The sequence below is a fragment of the Homo sapiens genome, chromosome 10 (assembly GCF_000001405.40).
Source record: "Homo sapiens chromosome 10, GRCh38.p14 Primary Assembly".
Lineage (NCBI taxonomy): Eukaryota > Metazoa > Chordata > Mammalia > Primates > Hominidae > Homo > Homo sapiens.
The window spans coordinates 120,294,735-120,317,598 of NC_000010.11; the positions used below are offsets into that span (position 1 = coordinate 120,294,735).

Consider the following 22,864-nt stretch of genomic DNA (forward strand, 5'->3'; position numbering starts at 1 on the left):
AATTTAAATGAACAAATAAAATGAAACTTTGAAAAGAACGTCACTAGTATTTTGCTGAGTCTACCATCTATTCCATCTGTTAGGAAAAGGAAAACTCTTAATTCTGATTAATAGGTACCCAGAAGATGAAATGAAACCTGGTCAGTTAAATTTTGACAAAGGAAATTGGTTTCTGCACGTTGTGGATTGAATGGAGAATTGTTTCAGAAATCTTGGAAAACCAGTGAAGCCAACCTGATTCCTTCTGGTTAGAAGGCTGAACTGAAAACAGTTTAATATCCAGCTATTGGAAGCAAAGTCAGGGCTGTAGCTGAAACTCAAGTCTAGCAATGACCATGGCACAGAATGGAAAATGTGCAAAGGAAACTCCTCTCCTCCTTGGCGGGTTGGGCTTTCCTGGGTCCTCTAGGGAGGGGGCTCTAGGAGCCCTCCTGATCCTTCCCCTTGAGGATGGAAAGTCAAAAGAAGTTGAAAGTATTCACTAGACATTTTTCCTCTCTACAGCATCTTCTATAGAGACAGCTTTATGAAGTCTTCCTTCTGGTAAGCCTCAGGGAAACTTGATCATAAATGCAACAATTCATGTGCAAAACAACTTGCTCTGGGGCATTTTGCCTGCCTTCTCCAGCTGTTGCTCATCTTGAAGGGTCTGTTTAGCAGGTACCATCTGCTGGCTCCCAATGCCTTTTTGTCATCTGTGCCCTAAGACTTTCACAATCTCAAAGCCAACCAGAAGTAGGTGTCACTTATTTGTACTGAGCCCAGGAGACAGCTGGACTCCAGTAGTTCCCAATGATCAAAGCATTTCAATATATTTTGATTCGTACGAGGTCTCATGATGTTACTTTTCATCAAGCTGCATAGACCCGGATGATAAACATAGCAAAGGTGTAATTGTTTTCTATAATCTAAATTTGAAAAATGATCAAATGGTGAGCCCAGAAATACAATGGGGCAAGCTTAGTCTAACTGACATTCTTACCAACAAGTAATGTCTGGAAACCAATCAACTGAATATACAAACTGACCAGAAACTCCCCCACTGCCTTCTGTTTCATTCATTTAACAAACTTAAATAGTACTTCTCATGTGGAGCTACCATTCTGCTTAACAAATACTCTTCCCTTTAATCCTCACAACAGCTCTAAGGATTAAATAGTAACATGGTTGCATTTTACAGATGAGAAAACTGAAATCCAGAGAGGTTAATAAACTTGCCCACGGTCATACAGCTAGTAAGTGGTAAATCTGAATTTAAACCCAGGCTGTCTGATTCCAGAATTCATGTTTTATGGATGAGGAAAATCTTAACAAAAGAACATATCAAGAAAACAGAAAAATACTTCAAAAATAAGCTATTGTTTGGGAGGAGTTCACTTCCATCCATTTCCTTTACCAGCTATGGTACCATCATCTATGGTATTGATAATTAAATACTATTATTATGTTAGCCAGTATTGATTGAACCTCTACTATATTTCAAGAATTACGATGTTTTTCCATGCACTTGCTCACGTGACAACAGCTGAGGTGTTTATCATCTTTATCCCTCTTTCACAGATTGTAAAACTAAGCCTCAGGGAAAGATGATAATTTGCCCAAAGTTACACAGACTTCCCAAGAAGTATGAAGGGTCATGGTTGTAGCCCTTGCCATACACATAAACTCTGCATGAAATTGAAGAAAAAGTGTAGTCCTAAACTTTCGTACATATCTGAGACAAATGTTAGAAAGAGAAGGGCTGTTGGTCCCTGCAAGAAGCACCAACTAGAATGGTGGCCTCATGAGAGGAGCAAGCTCCATTCCACTGAGAAGCAGGCTCTGGACATTTACAGGGTCCGGGGTCTCCAATGGAGCATGGGTCTAAGGGGTGGGGAGCCATCACGTCTGCACATCACCACCTGCATTCTTGGCTGAAGTGGTTGGAAGTGGTGTCATCATTTATTTATTCATTAGTCCATTCATCGATTCATTTGAGATTTATGGAGCACCTGTCATAGAGCACCAGGCAAGGTATCAGGCATTGTCGGTACCTGCCTGTACATCTCTTTTGAGGATTGAATTAGATAATGCAGGTGTATTAGTCCATTACTGCATTGCTATAAAGAAATACCTGAGACTGGGTAATTTGTAAAGAAAAGAGGTTTAATTGACTCACAGTTCCGCAGGTTGTACAGAACTCATAGCAGCATCTGCTCAGCTTCTGGGAGGCCTCAGGAAACTTACAATCATGGGGAAGGTGAAGCAAGAACAGGCATGTCTCATGACAAAAGCAGAAGGAAGAGAGAGTGAGGGGGAAGGCACTACACACTTTTAAATGACCAGATCTCTCGACAACTCACTCACTATCTCGAGGACACTACCAAAGGGGAAGGTGCTAGACCATTCTTGAGAACTCCGTCCCCGTGGTCCAATCACCTCCCAACATGCCCCACCTCCCACACTGGGCATTACATTTCAATATGAGATTTGGGCAGGGACACACATCCAAGCTATATCAGCAGTTAAAAGGCTTTATGTAGCACTTGGCCCATTGTAAGTGCTCAGAATATTTACCCATTAGAAGTGCCTAGAGGGAGTTTCCAAATTACACATGTTCTAGGTCCAAACAGTATTAAACACCAACTGGAACTTAAAGACCCAGTCACAACAATTCCTCCAGAGGCAGGTACTATGATCATCTCCCTTTCACAGGTAATTAAACAGAGGCAAAAAGAGGTCAAGTAACTTTCCCAGTGTTACACAGCTTAAGGAAGGACACACTCCCATAGCTGATTGATGCAGGGCAGAGATACCCTTCTCAGCCTCGCCAATCCTGCAACTCCTGGGAAATGTGAAATTACATGGAGATTCACAAATAGATGAGGGTGATGAAGCTGAGTTACCCTGAAACTCTTAGAACTTAGTAGAAGGTTCCTGAACCTTGGCTGCTGCCTTTCCTGGAGTTGCCTCTGGTTCTGTCCTTCCCAAGCCCTGACTGCTCAGTCCCATCTTTGCATCCATAAGCTCCCTACTGTCCTTCTAGAAACTCTCCCCCTTTTGTTTCTCAAGTTAGCCAGAATCAGATCCTTTCTTTGCAACCACAGTAATCTTGATAAGTATACCTCTGTTGAATTAGAAATTTGGAGGGATGTTTTATGTTTGGAAAAGGTGGCCGGAATGGCTCTGCACCATAGTTAAAAAACACTGCCCAAAATGATTGAGAAACTCTACCTTATGAATATTTAAAGACTTTTAACTGAAATACAACATCTCTGTATAAATGGAGTCCAACTAATTATTTGTAATGAAAATATGTTGGCCTCACTTACAAATGTTCTGCATCTGTACTTTGGTTGCAAGCAATGGACATAATTTCATTTATGTGACTCTGTCCTTCTTAGAAGGGATGCTCTTTGAGTCAACAGAATTTAGCCTGGCTGTGGCCTGACCATCACAGATCATAGTCCAATCACCACAAAGCAAAGCAGGCCTTAATGACACTTATTTAGAAATAAGATTTATTGGCTTCAGGAGGAGCTGCTATGGCAAAATAATGCTTTGAGGTTAAAAATAAAACCTGGGGTTCCAGGAGATAACTTAGTAATGCACTACATAGAATATATGCAGATAATTAAATGTGTAGCCTAGTAATGCATTGTGTGGGTAGATTTCTGTACCTTAAAAAATATAGCAGTGCTGGATTATATGGATGGTGTGTCAGAATCATTTATTCTTCAACATCCATTGCATTGCCCTTACTCCATCACATGCTTCCCAGCCTCCTGGCAGTTAGGTCCTAAATGGAAGTGATTGGTGTTTCTTCAGGGCTGGAGCACTTAAAAGCTGGTAGGCAGTCCTCCATCTCTCCTATACCCTGCCTTAGCCACCTGGAAGCCATGTGCTAAGATGTCAATGTCATATGATAGAATAGTCTGGATTGCTGAGCCACTACAGAAATAAGAATCAGCAGTCCATGAAAGACTTTGCAGAAGCAAATTGCAAACGTTTAGGTGTCAAGCCATTGAGAATTTGGAGAACATTGAAAAATGTTTATTATTTGGACCACTGCCTGTTATCCTGAATAATATGGTAGACAATCCTATTTTCTAGGTGTCAAAACCTTGGTACTATTGATATTTTAGGACAAATAATTCTTTGTTGAGGGGAGATATCTGTCCTGTGCATTGTAGGATATAGCAACATCTCTGGCTTCTAACCACTAGATGCCAATAACGTACTCCCTCCCCAACCAGTTGTCATAACCAAAAATGTTTCCAGACGTTGGCACATGTCTCTCGAGGAAAAATTACCCCTAATTAAGAATCACTGCTCTGGATAAATGAGTGAGTTTTGTATTTATTGTATTGTTTCTACTATCTCCTTCACTGTACTGGGTAAGAGATTAATATTACTGAGGCAGGAGGATAGGGTCTGGAGGCAGGGAACATAAGGCTGATTCATGCTGACTTCCTAGAACTAAATCAAATGGAACCACTTCAGCCATGACAGGAAATATCCTCTCCATTTACATAGGGCATACACCAAGTAAATAATTTTGTAACTTTACTTCACCCCCTTCATTTACATAAGGCATACACCAAGTAACCAACGGAAACCTCTAGAGGGTATTTGAACCCCAGAAAATTCTGTAACAGGACTCTTGAGCCTCCATGCTCGGGCCCACTCCCACTCTTTGGAGTGTACTTCATTTTCAATAAATCTCTGCTTTTGTAGCTTCACTCTTTTCTTGCTTTGTTTGTGCATTTTGTCCAATTCTTTGTTCAAGATGCCAAGAACCTGGACACCCTTCACCAGTAACATTATATCCTACTCCATGGGCATACCACAGAGAACACTAGATTCGGTCAAGAGACCTGGATGTAAAATTAAGAGCTTGGGCAAATCACAAGCCTGTTGCTGGGTCCTTTGGTTACATGTGTAAACCAAAAACCAAAATTCTAAGTCCTGCAACTGACTGAAGGGACCCTCTTCTCAGTCAAGGGGATCCAATGAAACCTGAAAAACTAGTTCAAACCATGGCAGGGATGGGAGGGGGTCAGATATGCCTCATTATACCTTCCCCTTGGAGTTCTGGCCAAAGATAGCAGGGCCCTGAAAGAAATCAAAGTATTTTACCCCAAAATATATTCCTTTGATATATTTTGAAATGGCCCTGCAAAGCTGTCTCTTGTGGGGGAAATTCTCTTTCTATAGAGAATCTTATGCCCTTTCCAGGTCTTTTTCTGATCCTGAAGAGTTTGGCTGAGAATCTGGCACCTTTTAAGGGTCTGAATAGGAAACATTTGTCATCTACTGCCTCTCGGTGTGGCCACCTAGGAGACTTCATCTACATAATAAGAACCTTGGTTTTCATAACCCCTTAACTTAACCCAGACACTCCTTGTATTGATTCCAAGTATTTAGATAATAACTTTTTCAACCAGTTGCCAATCAGAAAATCTTTGAATCTACCTATGACCTGTAGGCCCCCTGCTTCAAGTTGTCTGGCCTTTCCAGGCCAAACCAATGTATGCCTCACATGTATTGACTGATGTCTTACATCTCCCTAAAACCTATAAAACCAAGCTATAACCTAACCACCTTGGGCACATATTCTCAGGATATCCTGAGGCTGTGTCATAGGTCATGGTCCATAACTTTGGCAAAATAAACTTCAAAATGGATTAAAACCTGTCTCAGATACTTTTTGGTTTACACAAGCAACAGAAACTAATGGATTAACTAAAGCAAGAAAATGATTTTTTAGGACGGTAGGAATATTATAGAAAAACGGGGGATTTGAGCAACCAGGTAGGCTACTCCAGGGCTCTCAGCAGTAGATACTGTGGGCTGTTTCTTGGTTCCAACTGCTTTCTGCCTCAGCATTCTCTGCTTGGTTCAAATTTCTGGGCGACAGAGTCTGATTGGTTTTTCTTAGTCACGATCCTCTCTTTTAGCTTAGGGACGTGGTGGTGGCAAGGGTGACGGTACAGGAAGCAGCAGCAGCAGCAGCTGAGTCTTATGATTAACAGCCTTATTAAAATCAAATGGATGTGGGAGGAGAACTTTCCTAAGGGAAAAGGAGACATCAGTATTAGGAGAGGGGAAGGGAGGCTGGGCAAGCAGAAAGACCAGATGTCTATTACGGGGCTTTAGTTCCCATAACTTTAAGGTGGGGATCATAATATCTGCCCTGCTTTATTCACTGTATTCTGAGAATCAAATGAGTTGAATGTAAAAGCCATAAATATAAAAAAGGAACCTTGAGATGTCAAATGAGTTTGACTCTGGGACTTGTGACATACAAGGCTGCTGCCATGCAATAAGGCAGGCTTCTGGGACATGTGAGAACTCTCATTCCAGTAGGTGGTTAGCCAGGAGCTGATGATTTTGGATGGAGTTTTATGGGACTTTTGGCTCTTTGAGACATCTCTAGAAGTAGTAAAGAGCATGATAAACTTGTATCTGTCCTTTCCCTTCTCATGACCCCAACATCAGATCAGAGGTTGTAGATTGTAGGGAGGTCAGGCCATGCAAAGCAATTCTGTTGCCTCTTCTGTTTAGAAAATCACTATTTCAACCTATTCTGCCTCCTTCCCTCCTATGGAGTAGAGTATATAAATGTTATTATAGCAAAATAAGAGATTCTTAGGAAACAAGTAATCCAGTCCTTTTTCCTTTTTTAAATAGGAAAAAAATAAAGTGCCAGTAGAGGGAAGCTAATTTAAACCCAACCCCAAATCCTGAAAGCTATTGGAACTAGATGAATTCACAAGAACCTGAATTCAGGGATCGGGTTGTGGGATTGGAAGGTCATAGCCTCTGCAGAGTCTGATTTTTGGGTCAACGCAGAGCAGAGATTGTTTACCTGAAATCTATTTAACTCAAGACTTATAGTGAGTTCTATTATTTCTTGACAATGACATAATTAAATAAATCAAAGTTTCCGTCGTTGTCTTCAACGTAAGGGAGGGATAAATCAAGCTAGCATCAGCTTTTCCCAAATCCTAAATGTATTTACCTTCATTTGGAATGACCACTTTGATCCAGTTGTGCTCTGTCACTGATCAGTAATTCCATCAGTACAATTTCATGTACATAAATCTTGAGCTCTGGGGAGGATGTGCTTTGTAAATCCACTTAGCTGTAAAGACAGAACATCACAGTGAAAGTGCGTTGAAGGAACAGTGGCAAACACCACACTATGGGTTTTTGATTAATTTAATGTGAAGGCAAAGAACAAATGTTAAAAGAAATTGTGTTCTAAATGCATTAGGGTCTGGGCTTCTCTGAGAACCAGGAATGGAAGATACACCCTCAAGCCTTCAATTCCTCAGACCCAGGCAGGAAGCTTATTGAGAGAGAGAGAGAGAAAAATGTGTCAAGGGAAAGATGAGAGAGCTAATAGTGTTATTTCATAGTTTATATCATTCATTTTACACCTGGGTGACTGGACTCATTCAGTTGATCATTGAATGAATGCCTATGGAGGGCCAACTGTGAGCTAGGTGGTGGGAAGCAAAAATAGGATATCTGCCCTGAGGACTTTACAGTTTAGTGGTACAGAGCAATGCTCACCGAAAAACCACACAGTGAATGCAATACTGTCATTGCAAGAAGAGTTGTGAAAAGACAGAACATAATGCTGTTGGAAATTATAATGGGGGAATTGACTCATTGAGGAGGTCAAGGGTGATTTCCGTAAGGAAGACAGGATTGAACTGAAATTCAAAGGAAGAGTAGGAAGTAACTAGGAGAAGGGATTTGGAGGTGGGGGTGGAGAGGGAGGCTGTGTTTCTGGGTTTCAGAGGGCTGGTGAGTGTGCTATGAGATGGAGCCCAGAGGCTGGCAGGGTGAGACCATGCAGAGCCCTGTAGGTCAAGCCTTTAATACCCTCCTATTAGAGGGTATTAAGCAGGAAGTGATGTGATGAGATTTTCACTTTTGAAAAGGTCACTTCAACATAAGAGCCACAGCAATGACTTTGACATGGTAAGAGCCACACAAGAGGGGGTAGGAGGAGTCAGACTGAGCAGAGCATCAAGTGTCCTGGTAGACAAGAGGGAATCCAGGAACAAGGCCATCCCAACCTGGGTTGAGCAGCCAAACACTAGAAAGAGCAAGACGGGAAGTGAACCTACTTCTGAGGCAGTGGCTAGTCCAGCCATGGACTTCCTATGTGCAGCTGCCCAGGAAGTAACCACAGATTAGACTAGGGGAATAGCTTCACCTGGTGGGAAAGAGGATTAAGAAAGTAGTGCTGGTTTTTAATTCTCCCTGTTTTAATTCTTGTCTCAGAGAAGCCATAGCCTGCCCCTCCTATAGTTCTCTTCTGATGAACTCTGTTTCTATTGTGGATCTAACTCTCTTATTTTATCATAGAAAATGCCAAAAAATGTTAGCCATTATTACAGAGTATTTCAGGAGTTCAGAAGAGGAATTGTCTCATCCCTACGGGGAGCAGATAACTCTTGTTGAATGAAATTAAGGTGCCTTTTGAGCTGAGTATTGAGAGATGCTCCAATGGAGAAGTCAAGAAGTGCCCAGGAGACCACCAGGAGAAGGCAGGATATCCACAATTTAAAGAGGAAGCAGTCTGAGCAAACATTTAAAGGGAAATGACATTGTCTTTGAAACGGATGGTGGTCAGACATGGGATTTAGAGGCAGGAGGGTTTTACCTAAGAACATAGACTGTGTGCCCAGACTGCCTCAGTGAAAATCTCAGCCCTGGCATTCCCTAGCTTTGTGACCTCAGGCAAATTCCTTTAGTGTTCTGTGGCTCAGTTTCTTTACCTTTAAAATAGAAATAAGATCAGATTATCTACTTTATAAGGTCATGATGAACACTAGATTTAGCATGTGGTAAGTACCATGAAAATTTGCAGTATTATTATAGCAGTTGGAGGCCATGTTATAAACACAAGTGGAGGCTGTATTGTGAAGAGGTCAAAAGCCAGGCTGCAGAGTTGGCAAATATTGGGGATTTTCCAGATAGCATTCTGTTTTTGATAACTAATTTCATTCAAGTCCGGTTAGAGATATGCTCTTAATGACTTGAATCCTTTTAAATTTACTGAGACTTATTTTGTGACTGAGGATATTAGAAAATGCTCCGTGTGTATTTGAGAAGAATGTGTATTCTGTCATTGTTGGGTTGAGTGTTCTATAAATGTCAATAAGGTTAAGTTGGCTGATAATGTTGTTCAGATCTTCTATACCCTTATTGATTTTTTGTCTACTTGTTTAATCAGTTGTTGAGAGGGGTGTATTAAAATCTCTGACTATAATTGTGGACATGTGTAATTTCACCTTGCAGTTCTATTGGTTTTTATTTCCTGTATTTTGGATCTCTGTTATTAGGGCATACATATTTAAGGTTGTTTTATCTTCTTGTTGAATTGATACCTTTATCGTTACAAAATGACTTTCTTTACCTCTGATAATATTTTTCAGCTTTAACATCTATTTTGTTTTTGTTCTACCTGTTACTTAGTAGTAATGCCACTCCAGCTTTTGTCTAGTGTCAGCATGATATATATTTTTCCATCTTTTTACTTTTAACCTTTTGGTATCTGAATATTTAAAGCATGTTTCTTATACACAGCATATAGTTGGGTCTTACTTTTTAAAAGTCCAGTGTAATAACCTGTACCTTTTGACTTGAGCATTTAGGTTATTTACATTTAATGTAATTATTCATATGATTGCATTTAAATTTGTCATTTTGCAGTCCTTTTTCTATTTGCTCCAATTCTTCACTGTTACTTTTATTCTTCTTTTCTTGCCTTCTTTTGGATTAATTGAATACCTTTTACTATTTTATTTTCTCTGTTCCTTATGATCTGTAATTCTTTATTTTGTTTTCTTGGTGTTTGCTTTAAGGTTTATGGTATACATTTTAACTTATCATAATGTATATTCAAGTGATATTATGTCACTTTACATATAGTGTAAAAGCTTGGCAGTAGTTCATGTCCACTTCTCCTTTTCTAATCTTTGTGTTACTGTCATGTATTTTAGTTGTACATATGTTATAAACCCCATGGTACATTATTATTTTTGTTTTAACCATCAATAATATCTTAAGAAATTTAAACAATAAGAAAAAAACTCTCTATACCCAGGATGTTACATTTTTGGTACTCTTCATGCTTTTGTATAGATTTATATTTCCAACTAGTACAATTTTCTTTCTTCCTGAAGGACTTTCTATAAAATTGCTTGTAGTGTGGCTTTGCTGATTACAATTTTTTTTCTACTTTTGTGTATCTTTAAAAAAGTATTTCACCTTTGCTTTTGAAAGATTTTTTTTGACAGTTGACTTTTTTTTTAGTACCTTAAAGATGTTCCTCTACTGTCTATTTGGGTGAATTTTTTTAACAAGAAATCTGTAATTTTTAGTTTTGATCATCTATATTTAAAACACCTTTTTTTTCCTTTGGCTGCTTTTAAAATTTTATCCTTCTCACTGGTTTTGAGCAATTGGATTATGATATACGTTGGTGTAGTTTTCTTCATTTTCTTTGTGCTTGAAATTTGTTTAGATTTTTGGACTTGTGGGTTACAGTTTCCATCAAATTTGAAAAACGTTAGCCATTACTTCTTCAAATATTTTTATGTTTCCCCTTCTCTCTCCTCTCTTTTGTGATCTCCAATTACACATTTGTTAGGCCATCTAAACTCTTCCCACAGTTCGCTGATGCTCTGTTAATTTTCAAGATTCTGTTCTCTTTGTGTTTCATTTTGGATATTTTCTACTATGATATTTTTGAGTTCATTAATATTTTTTGTTATGTTTAATGTGCTATTAATCCCTTCCATAAACTTTTTAATCTCTGATAATGTGATTTTCTTTAGAGATGGAGTCTTGCTATGTTGCCCAGGCTGGCCTCAAACTTATGGGCTCAAGCAATCTTCCCACCTCAGCCTCCTGAGTACCTGAGATTATAGGCACTTTGCCACCATGCCTGGCTTCTATAAATTTTGTTGAGCTTTGTACCGTGACAGAGTTACATAACTTGGAAACAGTTTGATTCTTTTGGGTCTTACTCTCGAAATATTTTTAGATGAGAGCAGAACCATGCTCAGTCTAGGGCTAATTATTTCGTGCTACCTTAGTAAGTCTTTTTGTGTGCTTTACCAGTGTTCCATGATTCTTGGGGTTTTGTGGTCTGACTGGGAGGGACAGATATATCCTCAGTTCTGTATAAACATTACTCACTGTTACCTCTAATCTTCTCAGGTGATACTTCCCCTAGCCTCAGGAAGTTTCTGCAAACACATTTGCTGACCAGTGTTCAGCTGCGTATATGAAGGGACCACTCTGAAAATCTCTAGAGTTCTCTCTCTGTGGAGCTCTTTCCTCTCAGTACTCTTTCCGGTGAACTCTGGCTGCCTTGGTTTCTCTGGACTCCCAGCTCTGTCTCCTCAATTCAGGGAGTCTGCCAGGCTCTGTCTAGTATCTCCAACTGGTATTGTAGCCTGGAAACTCACTTAAGGCAGTAAACTGGACCAATTGCAGGACTCATCCTGTTTGTTTCTTGTCTCTCAGAGATCACTGTTCTTCATTGCCCGTTCTTTGAAAACCTTTATTTCCTACATTATATTCGTATTTGGTTGACTTAGGTGGGAGGATAAACCCTCTTATTCCATATTGGCCGGAAGTATAAGTTTCAGACTGCAAAGTTTAAATCTCATTGTTTAGGCAATGCAGAAACATTAAACCAGGGGAATGGTGATCAGTTCTGGCTATCCAGAAGACAACTCTAGTAGTGTTCAGCGGAGGAGAAAAGAGATTGGAGAGAGGGAGGCTCATGCAAAGCCATAACATGAGGCAATGAGGACCTGGAAAAGGCATGAATTTGAGAGACTCTGAAATCTGGGTATAGAAAGTGTCCTGAAATAAAATGCAAAGGTCCAAGTTTGTGCAATAGAAACATGATGTAAAGTGCCATTGGCCTTCCATATCCATGGGTTCTGAATCCATGGATTCAGTCAACCAAAGATTGACAGATATGAAGACAGAAAAAGATGCTTGTATCGATACTGAACATATACAGACCTTTTTCTTGTCATTATTCCCTAAACAATAAAGTATAACAACTATATACATAGCATTTAGAATGTATTAGGTATTATAAGTAACCTAGAGATGATCTGAAGTATACAAAAGGATGTGTGTACATTATATGCAAATATTACACCATTTTTTATATAAGGGACTTGAGCATCTGAGGACTTTGTTATTTGCAGTGGGTTGGGGGCGGGAGGTTTGGGCTGGAACCAATCCCCATGAATACCAAAGGATGACTATAATGTGTTATAAATCTGTAGCATTTTGTGTGTCCCTGCCAATACAAATTGAAGGCTGGGTTAAGGCAAAAATTGTTGTTTCCCATAATGCCTTCCAAACACTAGGTGCCAAACACCCTGAGAACTGGGGAGTGTGGGACTCATCAGAGACGCCCCGAAAGGTCCTGCAGAGTCTGAGGTTTGAAATTTGTGGACTTAGATAACCTTAAGGACTTCCAAATGACTGTTCTTGTTTGGACAACATTTGAGCATAGTTCCTATGTGAAATCACGATGTTTTATTCATGTGCACTTGGAAACTTTGTGAATAGCAGAGAATATTTTAGAATTCTAGAAAGCAAATCTCCACATGTGTTTATCACAGAGCTTTTGAGTTTTCAAGTCATTTTGGAATGAGAAATTTTTTCTTCTAAACCACAAAATCTAAATGCAACTGGGATCTTTACATTTGAACGTTGTATTTCCCCCAAGTTACTGGTATGCCTAATGCTAAAATAATATATTTAGGATAATAAAGTAAAGTAGGGAATAAAAAAGCACAAGGCATAGTCAAATAAAATCAGTCTTGAGAAAATGTACCATTACCACTTTGAAGGAGTTAAGCTTAAATGGAATCTCTTTAAACTTAGTATGGGAAAGCTTGTTCAAGGAACAAAGATCAGAGAATATTAATAAGTTTGTGTCAGAGAAAGGCTATTAGAAACCTCTGAGCCCTGGGAGAGCAGTTCTAGTTCTAAAAATACTCTTTCTATGATGGAAATGACAGTGGCAATGGTGGGAGTTAGCACCTATGGCTGTGTGCTGGAGTCCTCTCAGGATGGAAGGCTGGGGCCAAAATTATGCCTGCACCTCGAATTCCTTTAGGCTTCAGAATGACTGGCAGACCATCTCCCAAGATTCTTACTGATAATCCCAAGGGAGATCTCAAGGGAAATATAAACCCATTTACATGCAAACCCTTTCCAAAGCGAATGTTGATCAACAACAAAAAGTGACCTTTCTCACTGCTTAAATTCAGGAAAAATGACCTGTTATTTCTCAAGCACTTGAGTACAATACAGCTACTAGGTAACTAATTTTATTATGGAGAAGTGGTTGAATAAGGTGGCAGGAAAAAGGAGGAAGAATAGAGAACCTGGGTAAAACAGTGAGATGAAACTCTTATCACCTATGTGATATCTTTTGATGCTAGTATGGCAAATTGGCTCCCCCATTTTCTATATTGGAATATTAACTCCCCTTCCCATCTCTGTTGATGCTTTTGGAAACACATGTTTGAAGGCTGCATGACAGCTCATGATGGTTACAGCTCTGTCTGTTTGAAAGGTCTTTCTTGTTTATTGGGGACCCTGTCCCATCCCTTATAGCCCTGTTAGGGTGAGTCAGAATCCCTTATCCCCACCCCTGCCAGAGGGAATGGTATGTGACCCAGGCTGGCAATTAGGAATTTCTTTCCTCATGCAAAGAATGAGAGGTGAAGGATGGGCACAGGGCCCAGATAGGACCACTGGGCTTTTCCCTGGGATGGATGTGTAGACATTGGGCAGAGAGTTCCACTTTGCACTAACGGTAACTAAGTCAAGTTGCTGGCTACACAGAGTTGAGGGGAAAGAGGATGCCACAAGGGAAATGTGGGCAGCAGAATCAGAGTCTGTCTTTGTAATTATGTTAAATACCCAAATGAGGCCTATTTCATGACAGATGGAAGATTTTAGAGATTGATGAATTTTTCCAACAGCTTCATAAATGCAGTCACTTACGTTTGATAAGAGTATGCTTTCTATCACATGGATCTTAGCTATCATTCAATTCCTTTCCAGGCCTCCTGTCAAAATAACAAATGACCTGTATCAGAAAAGTGCCAGCTGGCAGAGACCATCAACCCAGAATTTCATGACCACCAGAAACGGTAGTTGCAGGGGGGACCTGCTGCTGTTTCTTTCTTCCTCAGGATTTGGGTTTTCCTGCAGGAAAGTATCCCCTAACTATGTACACAGATAGTTCTAATAAGAAGCAATCTTCTTAAGCACTTGGCAAAGTTGAATGAGAATTGGCTACCCTTCCTGTGGTAGACTGTTCTTTATAAATTGTGTTAGCTAGGAAGAAAATAGAAATCTCCAATTTCTCAGTGGCTGGAGTTGAAATCATCCTATAAATGCAAGATTGGCCAAATCTATTACAGAACAGAGCAATGAGTGAGATTGTTTACAGTTTGATGTCAATTCTGAGTTTGTGTAGGGATGTGGTGACCATGGGCCAAAGTTTTTGATACTTCGGTAAAAGAGAACCTGTTAGGGATCACCAGAAGGACTGTGTGCTACTGGAGGAGAGACATGGATTCATTCTCTCCCCATTCTCATCAGAGACTAGAAAGTTTGCTCTGTTCTCCAGGAATCTCCCTTTTCTTGGTTAATTAAGCACTCCTGTGGGAAGCGTCTGAGGCTACGACCCAAGTCCATTGTCTACAAATAGTTATTATGAATGAGAAAGGCAGATTCTTCTATGTGTGCACACACATACTTATACACACATTGGAGTAATTTTCTCAGTGCATATCAGCATGGGGATGAATCAGAGAACTTAGAAGATGTCATAGAAAGCATTTAATACAGAGCTTAGCCAGTGTTTTGTGGAAATAGCTAGATAGTAATTACTTTAGGGCTTTCAGGCCGTACTGACTATTGCAACTATTCAACTTTGTGTTGTAGTGTAAAAGCAGTTATACACAATACATAAATAAGTGGATGTGGCTGTGTTCCAATAAAACTTTATTCACAAAAACAGGTGGCAACTGGGTTTAGCCCTTGGGCCCCAGTTTTCTGACCGCTGGTCTAGTCCTATGCCCTTGGTAAGGAAATTGAAAGTCAAAATGATCTACCAGGCCATGTGGGTAATAACTGGCAGAGTTTAATCCAGATCTCAGACCCCTGAGTCCCAATCAATTTCATTTCCACTGCCTCATGCTCCACTGTTTTTTGCTCTTGAAGCCAACTAGGAGAGTTATCTAGTCCTCCTCTCTCTGAAGGGCTACACATAGGCACCAGTAGTAAATTCTGTATAACAGGGCTCCTCTACTTAGGTTTGGTACCACCATCCTGGGTGCACAAGGCTATGTTTCCATGTGTGTGCCACGTGTTGGAAGCAGGGCTGTGTCAGGTGCCGCATAGGCTTTAAGGTAGACCCAATCCCAGAAGGTCAGCTCTAACATTAGCATTTGTCAGCAAATGAGAACAAGTGATCTAAAACACATCTTGTATCTGCTTATCTGAGTCAACCTCAGAAACCCCACAGTCAATTTTGAATATACTTCTGCAAATTCTTAGAGAAAGATAATTCTACCTTCTAATGGAATGAGGTATGTTCAGGGCATTTTTCTGTGCCTTACTGCCCTCTTCCTATCTAATATACCTCATTGCCATCCCTAAAACCTCATTATTCAGTTATTTACCCTTTTTAGATAGTCAGACTCACTTATCTCCACACCTTTAATCTTTATTTACTTGCTTGTGGCATTAATTATTTTAATCTTATCTCATGAATCACAACTCTCCTGATTTTGAGTTACTAGCTTAACTTTGCACTGAATATTCTGATTCACCTTTATTCCAGAGGTGAAATTTAAGCTGTAAATAGCTACAGGAAAATGTGTAAGAGCTAAAATCCTTTTTGTTCATATGTTGAAACTTTGCCTTATGAAATACTAAAAATATTTTATTAATTTAAGTATTGAAGATAAAATTGTATCCCAAAACTCATTTGGCCCATTTGATGTCTCTCTCAGCATAAGCTAAACAGGATTGAAATGTCATTAAACCCAATTCAGCTGCTAATTTGTTAGTGATTGTTTGGTCATAAAGAACAGTAATACAGCCAAACTAACTTAAGCAAAACACAAAATGAAATTTACTGGAAGAAAACTGGACACAGGCCACAGAAGGCTATGTGGGTATCTATAGGAACTCAAACTAGGAACTGGCATGTCAGGGCCAAATTACCTTCCACGTCTCTGTGGGGCTCGGCCTCTTACCTCCTCTCATCTTTGCAGTTTCCAAAGAAACCGCACACAGCCTCGTCTAGCGTTCAGGACTCACAACTCCAAGTCTCCTCCTCTGAACCTTTTACCAGTACTTGTTAAACTAGACCTGTGAGACCTCTGGGCTCTGCAGGGGTGCCACAGGGCATCCCCAAATACTCAAGAATTTATCTAAACCAGCAAACATGTAGACCATCTGGAGAATCCCTTCCTGTCTTATCTTGGCTTTGTCAGTTGAGGTTCCGTGTAAGAGAGGCATTTGAAAAAGAGGTTCTGCTGTCTATTTTGTGCTTCCATGGAACTGGTATTGAGAAGGATTGATTAAAACAACAAAAGAGTAAAAACTCTAAGTTGTGGGATGATAGTTTGGATAATTGTACTTTATTTGGTGGCAAATGAGTGAGTTGTCTTCTTTACCTTTAGAATGGGTTTCCTTTTAGTTCTTGGGACAAAAGAGTCCATTGGCTTTCTGGCTCTCGAAATCTGGGACAAGATGTGACTAAAGCAGGGATTGACAAAGTATGGTCCTCAGTCTAAATCCTGTTTTAATTGCCTGTTTTTTCAATAAAGTTTTATTGGAAAACAGCCATGCCCATTGATTTACATATTGTCTATGGCTACTTTTACATGACAATAGGAAAGATGAGTAGTTGTCACAAGGACCACGGGGCTCACAAGCTTAACATACTTACTATCTGGCCCTTTTCAGAAACTTTGTTGATCCCTGGACTAAAGAGCTAAGACAAGAACTCTCTGACCTCAGTGGGTCACAGAGTGATGCCTCAGATGGCTCTGGAGTCAAAAGACAAGTGGTGGAAGAGTCTACAATGAGGAAATCATTTAGAGACCCAACATCTCAATCTCATAGTGGAATCTGGCCATGGACTTGTTTCAAAGAATATTAATAAACTAGGCTCCACCCAATTTATTTGCTGTATCAAATGTTTTCAGTCTGTGCTGCAGTTCAAATAGTTTGACAAAAAATAAACAAGCTACTGGGGAGTGTGAATGATGACCAGGATCTGGGTGTAGCTTATTGTGACATTGTAAACTGTGGACTAAACAATTTCTTCTATTAAACATTGCTCGAACTGTTGAGCAGTTCTAAGTTAAAATCTGACAAAAACTAAAAAGAAAATATGTGCTTGACAAATAATGAAAATACAACCTATAGGCAGAAAACTGCATGATTTAGAAAAGCATTTTGATATTTTTATATTCATTCCAGGATAAAGGAACAAGCCCAACTTGAGGCCGGCAGGAAGAGCCTAACTTGGTTTCCATGACAAAGTATAGCCACTGCTGTTTTATATTACCCCTTCGTAGATGCTGCCAAAGAAAGTGGAGTATCCAAGGGAAGATGTTATATTGGTCACCTCTTCCTTCTGGCACCTGGTTAGCACTCCCATTCCCTTTTTCCTCTTATCCAATTTTCATCTCTATGCCTTCATTTTAATTTGATCGGCCTCACATCTTATTAACCGTTTTTCCAAATGTCCCTGCAGTGGTTTACCTTTTAAATTGTCGTCTTTAAAGAAAAACAAGCAACTTTGACACTCAAAGTAAAATATTAGCTTTTATGACTGATATGGTGACCCGGTGGGAGGTCATTGAATCATAAGGGCAGGTCTTTCCCATGCTATTCTCATAACAGTGAATAAGTCTCACAAGATCTGATGGTTTTATAAAGGGGAGTTCTGCTGCATACACTCTGTCTTGCCTGCTGCCATGCAAGATGTGACTTAGCTCCTCCTTTGCCTTCCACCATGATTGTGAGGCCTCCCCAGCCATGTGGAACTGTGAGTTGAATAAACCTCTTTCCTTTATAAATTACCTAGTCTCAGGTATGTCTTTATTAGCAGCATGAGAACAGACTAATACGATACCCATAGTAATGTCAATGATAATGATATTAGTTATAACCTGGTAGCCATCATCTACTGAACGTCTCTGATAAGTAAAACATTTGAAATACTTTATCTCACTTGATCATCATATCAGCCCTGGGAAGTAAATACAATTATAATTACTATTTTACTAATGAGGAAATTCAGGCTTAGGGAGATTATATAACTTACAATAATTTATGTATTCCACAAATATATATTGGCTGACTGCATGTTCCTAGTATAGTGCTGGGTCTACCACCGTGAACACTTAGCCATGAAGTATGGAGTCTGTACCCCCGCAATGTAGACAGATAATACACAAACAACAATAAAAACACGTGATTCCAAAGGGGGATAAGTGTTCAGGAGGAAAAGGACAGGGTGCTGTGAAGAACAGTAAGAGGCTACAATTAATACATGGTGGTCTGGCCCCAAGTTTGTCTAAACTGAAGCCTGTCTCTGAGGACTATGTTCTTAATTGACCTTTCTGTCCTTCCTCTATGGTACAGCACAGCCTAGAGCTGGATGGATGGGACTTTGACATCCCTGGGCCTGTCCAATGTATCTTGCCAGCTGGATTTCTCAATTGTCTACTTTCATCTTGGTCTTCTTTGGGTATGGAGACCCTATAGTCTTTCCCAGAAGGCTTTTCTACTATTTTTTTCTTTCTCCTTTTTTTTTTAACATATGGGCAAGTCCCTTCCTTCCTGTGTTCTTCCCTCATCCCCTCCTGCCTTTCTTCCCTCCTTTCCTTCCATCATCTGTTTATATTACTTTATTTCTACCAAAAATATAATGTATTCAACAAATGTTTATCTTTAATAAATTTATTCAATATTGAATAAATTTAATATTTATTTAAATATTATTTATTATTAAATGAATAAACCGAAAACCAAACCAAGACAACCACCATGAATCACCTTCCAGTGGCTTCTGGGTGATCTCAGAGTAGCACCAAGTCCTTAATGTGGCCTCTCCTGGTGTCCGTTGCAGCCTATTATTAAATATTAAATAAAATTAATATTTAATATTAAAATTAATATTAAGTATTAAATATTTAATAAACTTATTAAATATTAAATATAAAGAAATTTATCTTTAATAAACATTTGTTGAATGCATTATATTTTTGGTAGAAATATGACAAATTTTTATTGGTAACAGGGCTTAGCAGAGTCTTCTCTATAAGTACTTATTGACTAAGTGAATGTACTGGACTTAAAAGAAAACAAATTTAAAACAAACAGGATCCCTGTTCTCAAGGAGTTTACATTGGCTGAGCAGAAAGACACCTAGAAAGCAGGTACTAATGAGTAGGGTGCACTTTGGATGGCTCTCCAAAAATTCTACTGTGCAAAATTCTAACAGATTGGATTTGTCTCACAATTCTTTGAAGAGCTCACTTCAATGGTTCCCAAAGCTCTGATTTGTAGTTTGCTCATCAACTGTGTCTATGGATCTCTTGATGCAAAAGAAGGAAATTTTTTCAAAGCTCAAATAAGGCTCTGCAGGTCATTGTCCAGGATGGATTTACTAGCACTATTCCCAGTGGCATAAATTTATTAGGATGGTAGTGAGCAGAGTGATGATGAAGGGGGAAAGGGGTGGGTGTGTCACGTGAGACTTCCTCATCCATGTGCAATGAACTTGGCTACACAGTCAGTGCTCCCAAAGTTAATAATTTCCATTTGCATCATCAGCACTCCAAAGAATTTGATGGATATCCACAGATGAGCATGTGACTTACAGCCTCCTCCATAGAAAACTCATTCCATCAATAAAATATGTGTCCCTTTCACTCTAGGTCTACACAGCCCCCTGCCATTCTTTTTACATGCTATCCTCTCTTACAGCCTTGGATTCTTTCCTAGTGCTGCTGGAACAAATTACCACAAACTGGGTGGCTTAAAACAATAGAAATGAATTCTCACAAAGTTCTAGAAACTAGAGGCCTGAAGTCAAGGTGTCAGCAAGGCCATGCTCCTCTGAGGGCTGTAGGGGAGGACTCCTCCTTTCCTCTTCCAGCTCGTGGGGGCTGCCTGCAATCCATGGCATTCCTTGTTTTGCAGATGCATCACTCTGATCTTTTTCCCTGTGTGTGTCCGCGTCTTCACATCTCTCTCTGCTTGCAAGGACACCAGTCATTGGCTTTAGGTATCACCCCAATGCAGTATGAACTCATCTTTACTTGATTACACCTGCAAGGACCCCATTTCTAAGTAAGATCTTATCCACAGGTACTATGGATTAGTGCTTGGATGTGTATTTCTAGGGTATATGACACAACCCACCACAAATCTCATGCCTCCAAAATGTATCTGGAATCCTCACACTTCTCACTAGCTCCAGTGTGATCACCCTATCCTGACCACCATCTTCTCCCTCTTGGTGACTCCAGGCCTCCAGATGGGCCTCACTGCATCCTCTCCTGCCCCCTATGGTCACTCCCTACCCCGCAGCCAGTGTCATCTATTGGAAATGCAAATCATAGTGTTTCTTTCTAGGGAAAACCAAACTGGAACCACCACCACAAATCCCCTTCCAGTGGCCTCTGGGTGATCTCAGAATAACACCAAGTCCTTATGTGGCCTCTCCTGGTGTCCATTGCAGCCAGCCACAGTGGTCTCCTTCCCCTCCCTCAAATGCCTGGAGTTTCCTCCTGTCTCCAGTTACAGGATTTGCCATGGCCTCTGCCCATGAAGTGCTGCATGACCTTGCAGGACGGGCTTCTTCTTTTGTTCAGGTCCCATCCCAAATGTCATCCTGACAGATGCCATCCCTGGTCTCCTGATCTATAACATTTTTCCTGTCCCCCAGTTCCCCACGCTGTTCCTCTTGTCCCACACACAGATGCCTTTCTGCACGACATTATAATTGCCTGAATTATGTTGTTCATTTATTTTAATGAGGTGTGTCTATCTCTGCAGCCCACCAAAATGTCAGTCCCATTAGAGCAGGACTGGTCTCTCCTGGTCCCATGGTGTCCTCGGTGCCTGCACAGTGTCTAGCACTTACTGGGTGCTCAAAAGTCTCTGTTGAGTGACTGGATGGAGGGATGAAGTGACTATCCATAAGGTGATGATATTTGGCTATCTGATCTAGACTGTGAGATATTGAAATAAGGCAATTAGAAGAAGAAGAGGTGCTGTTGACAGTGAGCAGATTGGCCATTGAGGGAGGAATCCAAGACTGGTGACACATGGCAACATCAGAGCTCAAATGTGTAGAGTGACCTGGGGACATTTAGTGTAGGGGCAAAGAAAGTGAGCCCTTCAATAGCTCATGCAAACCTGGCTTTTGTGAAGGGACTATCCCAGGTCTCCTCCACCTGTAAGCGCAAATGAAGCTACATGAAGAGCAGGGACTCCAATCCCTTGCTCTTGTCCTCATCTGGCTCATGGTCTCCATCCATCCCCACCTGGCCCTAAGCCTTTTTGGTTTCCATGGGAGCCTCTCTCATGAAGTGTGTGGTGCTCTCAGTGAGATCTCAGGCCCTGTGCCAGGGTGCTCCCTCTCGAAGCTGCCCAAATCACCTGTCCTTGAGGGTCTGCACCCTGCTGGGTCCCCAAAGGCCTTTCCTCTAGCTCCAGTAACCACAGCAAACATTTCATGGCCCTTGCTTATGTGCCAGGCACAATTCTGAGTCCTTTATGTAAATAAATGCACCTCATTTCATCAATCCAGACACTCTCCCCTACCTCCTACATTTTAACATCTCTAAAATTGGGATGCATCCTACAATGATATCATAGACCCAGTTGAATAGGAATGTCAACCCTGCCAACAACCTTCTGAGGAGGGTGCTATTATTATCCTGCCCTCAAGAGAAGGCACAGGGAATTTAGGGAATCTCTGTTATGTACGCTGCTGAGCTGTAATTCAGCCACAGCTCAGAGCCCAAGCTCTTCAAGGAAGCACTTTATGCTACCCTGGTCACCTGCACACCAAACCACATCATTATCTGTCTCTCCCTTCTGTCCATTTCCTTTGTGACCATGGAACTTAGAGCATGCACCCTCAAATAAGCTCTTTTCTCCTTTGTAGCCCATTTAAAGGCCTTCTTGAATATCAACTTATGTAGTTACACCCTCAGAAGGGTCACCAGGCCAACTATTCCACAGACTCTGAACCCAGTTTGGGTTTTCCCAGAGACTTTGTTTATAAGCTAAGTACTTTTAGCTGCAAGAAAAAGAATCTCTTGACTATAATGACTTCACAGGAAGACACTCATTTTTTCACTTACCCAGAAATTCAGGAAAGGCCAGGTGGGAAAGGGGGTTCTATCTGGGAATAATTCAGCAGCTTAGAGATGCTTTCAAGGACTCAGGTGTCTGCTTTCCTTGGGGTATTATCATAGCTCCTGATCAGGTAGACACAGCTATGTCCAGAAGAGAAATTATCTCTTTCTCATCTCTTTTTATTTAGACTCAAAACAAAACAAACTCCCTTCACCCTCAACTTTTCCACAAGTTCCCCAGAATGTTCCATTGGTCAAGTTTGAGTCATGCATTCAGGCTCTAGCTGCAAGGCAGGCTGAGGAAGCTGGTGCCTGGCCATATCAGTCTGGACAATGGCAGATGGGCTTCACCAGCAAAGGAGTGGGTGAGTTGGTGGGAAGGGTTACAACAGTGCCTGTGAGTCCTG

General features: G+C 40.5%; 1 long non-coding RNA gene across 1 annotated transcript in view; it reads left to right on the plus strand.

Moving 5' to 3' along the window:
* LOC105378515 (uncharacterized) overlaps positions 1–22,864 on the plus strand; it is a 164,918-nt gene that overhangs the window by 122,115 nt on the left and 19,939 nt on the right. The window lies entirely within an intron of this gene.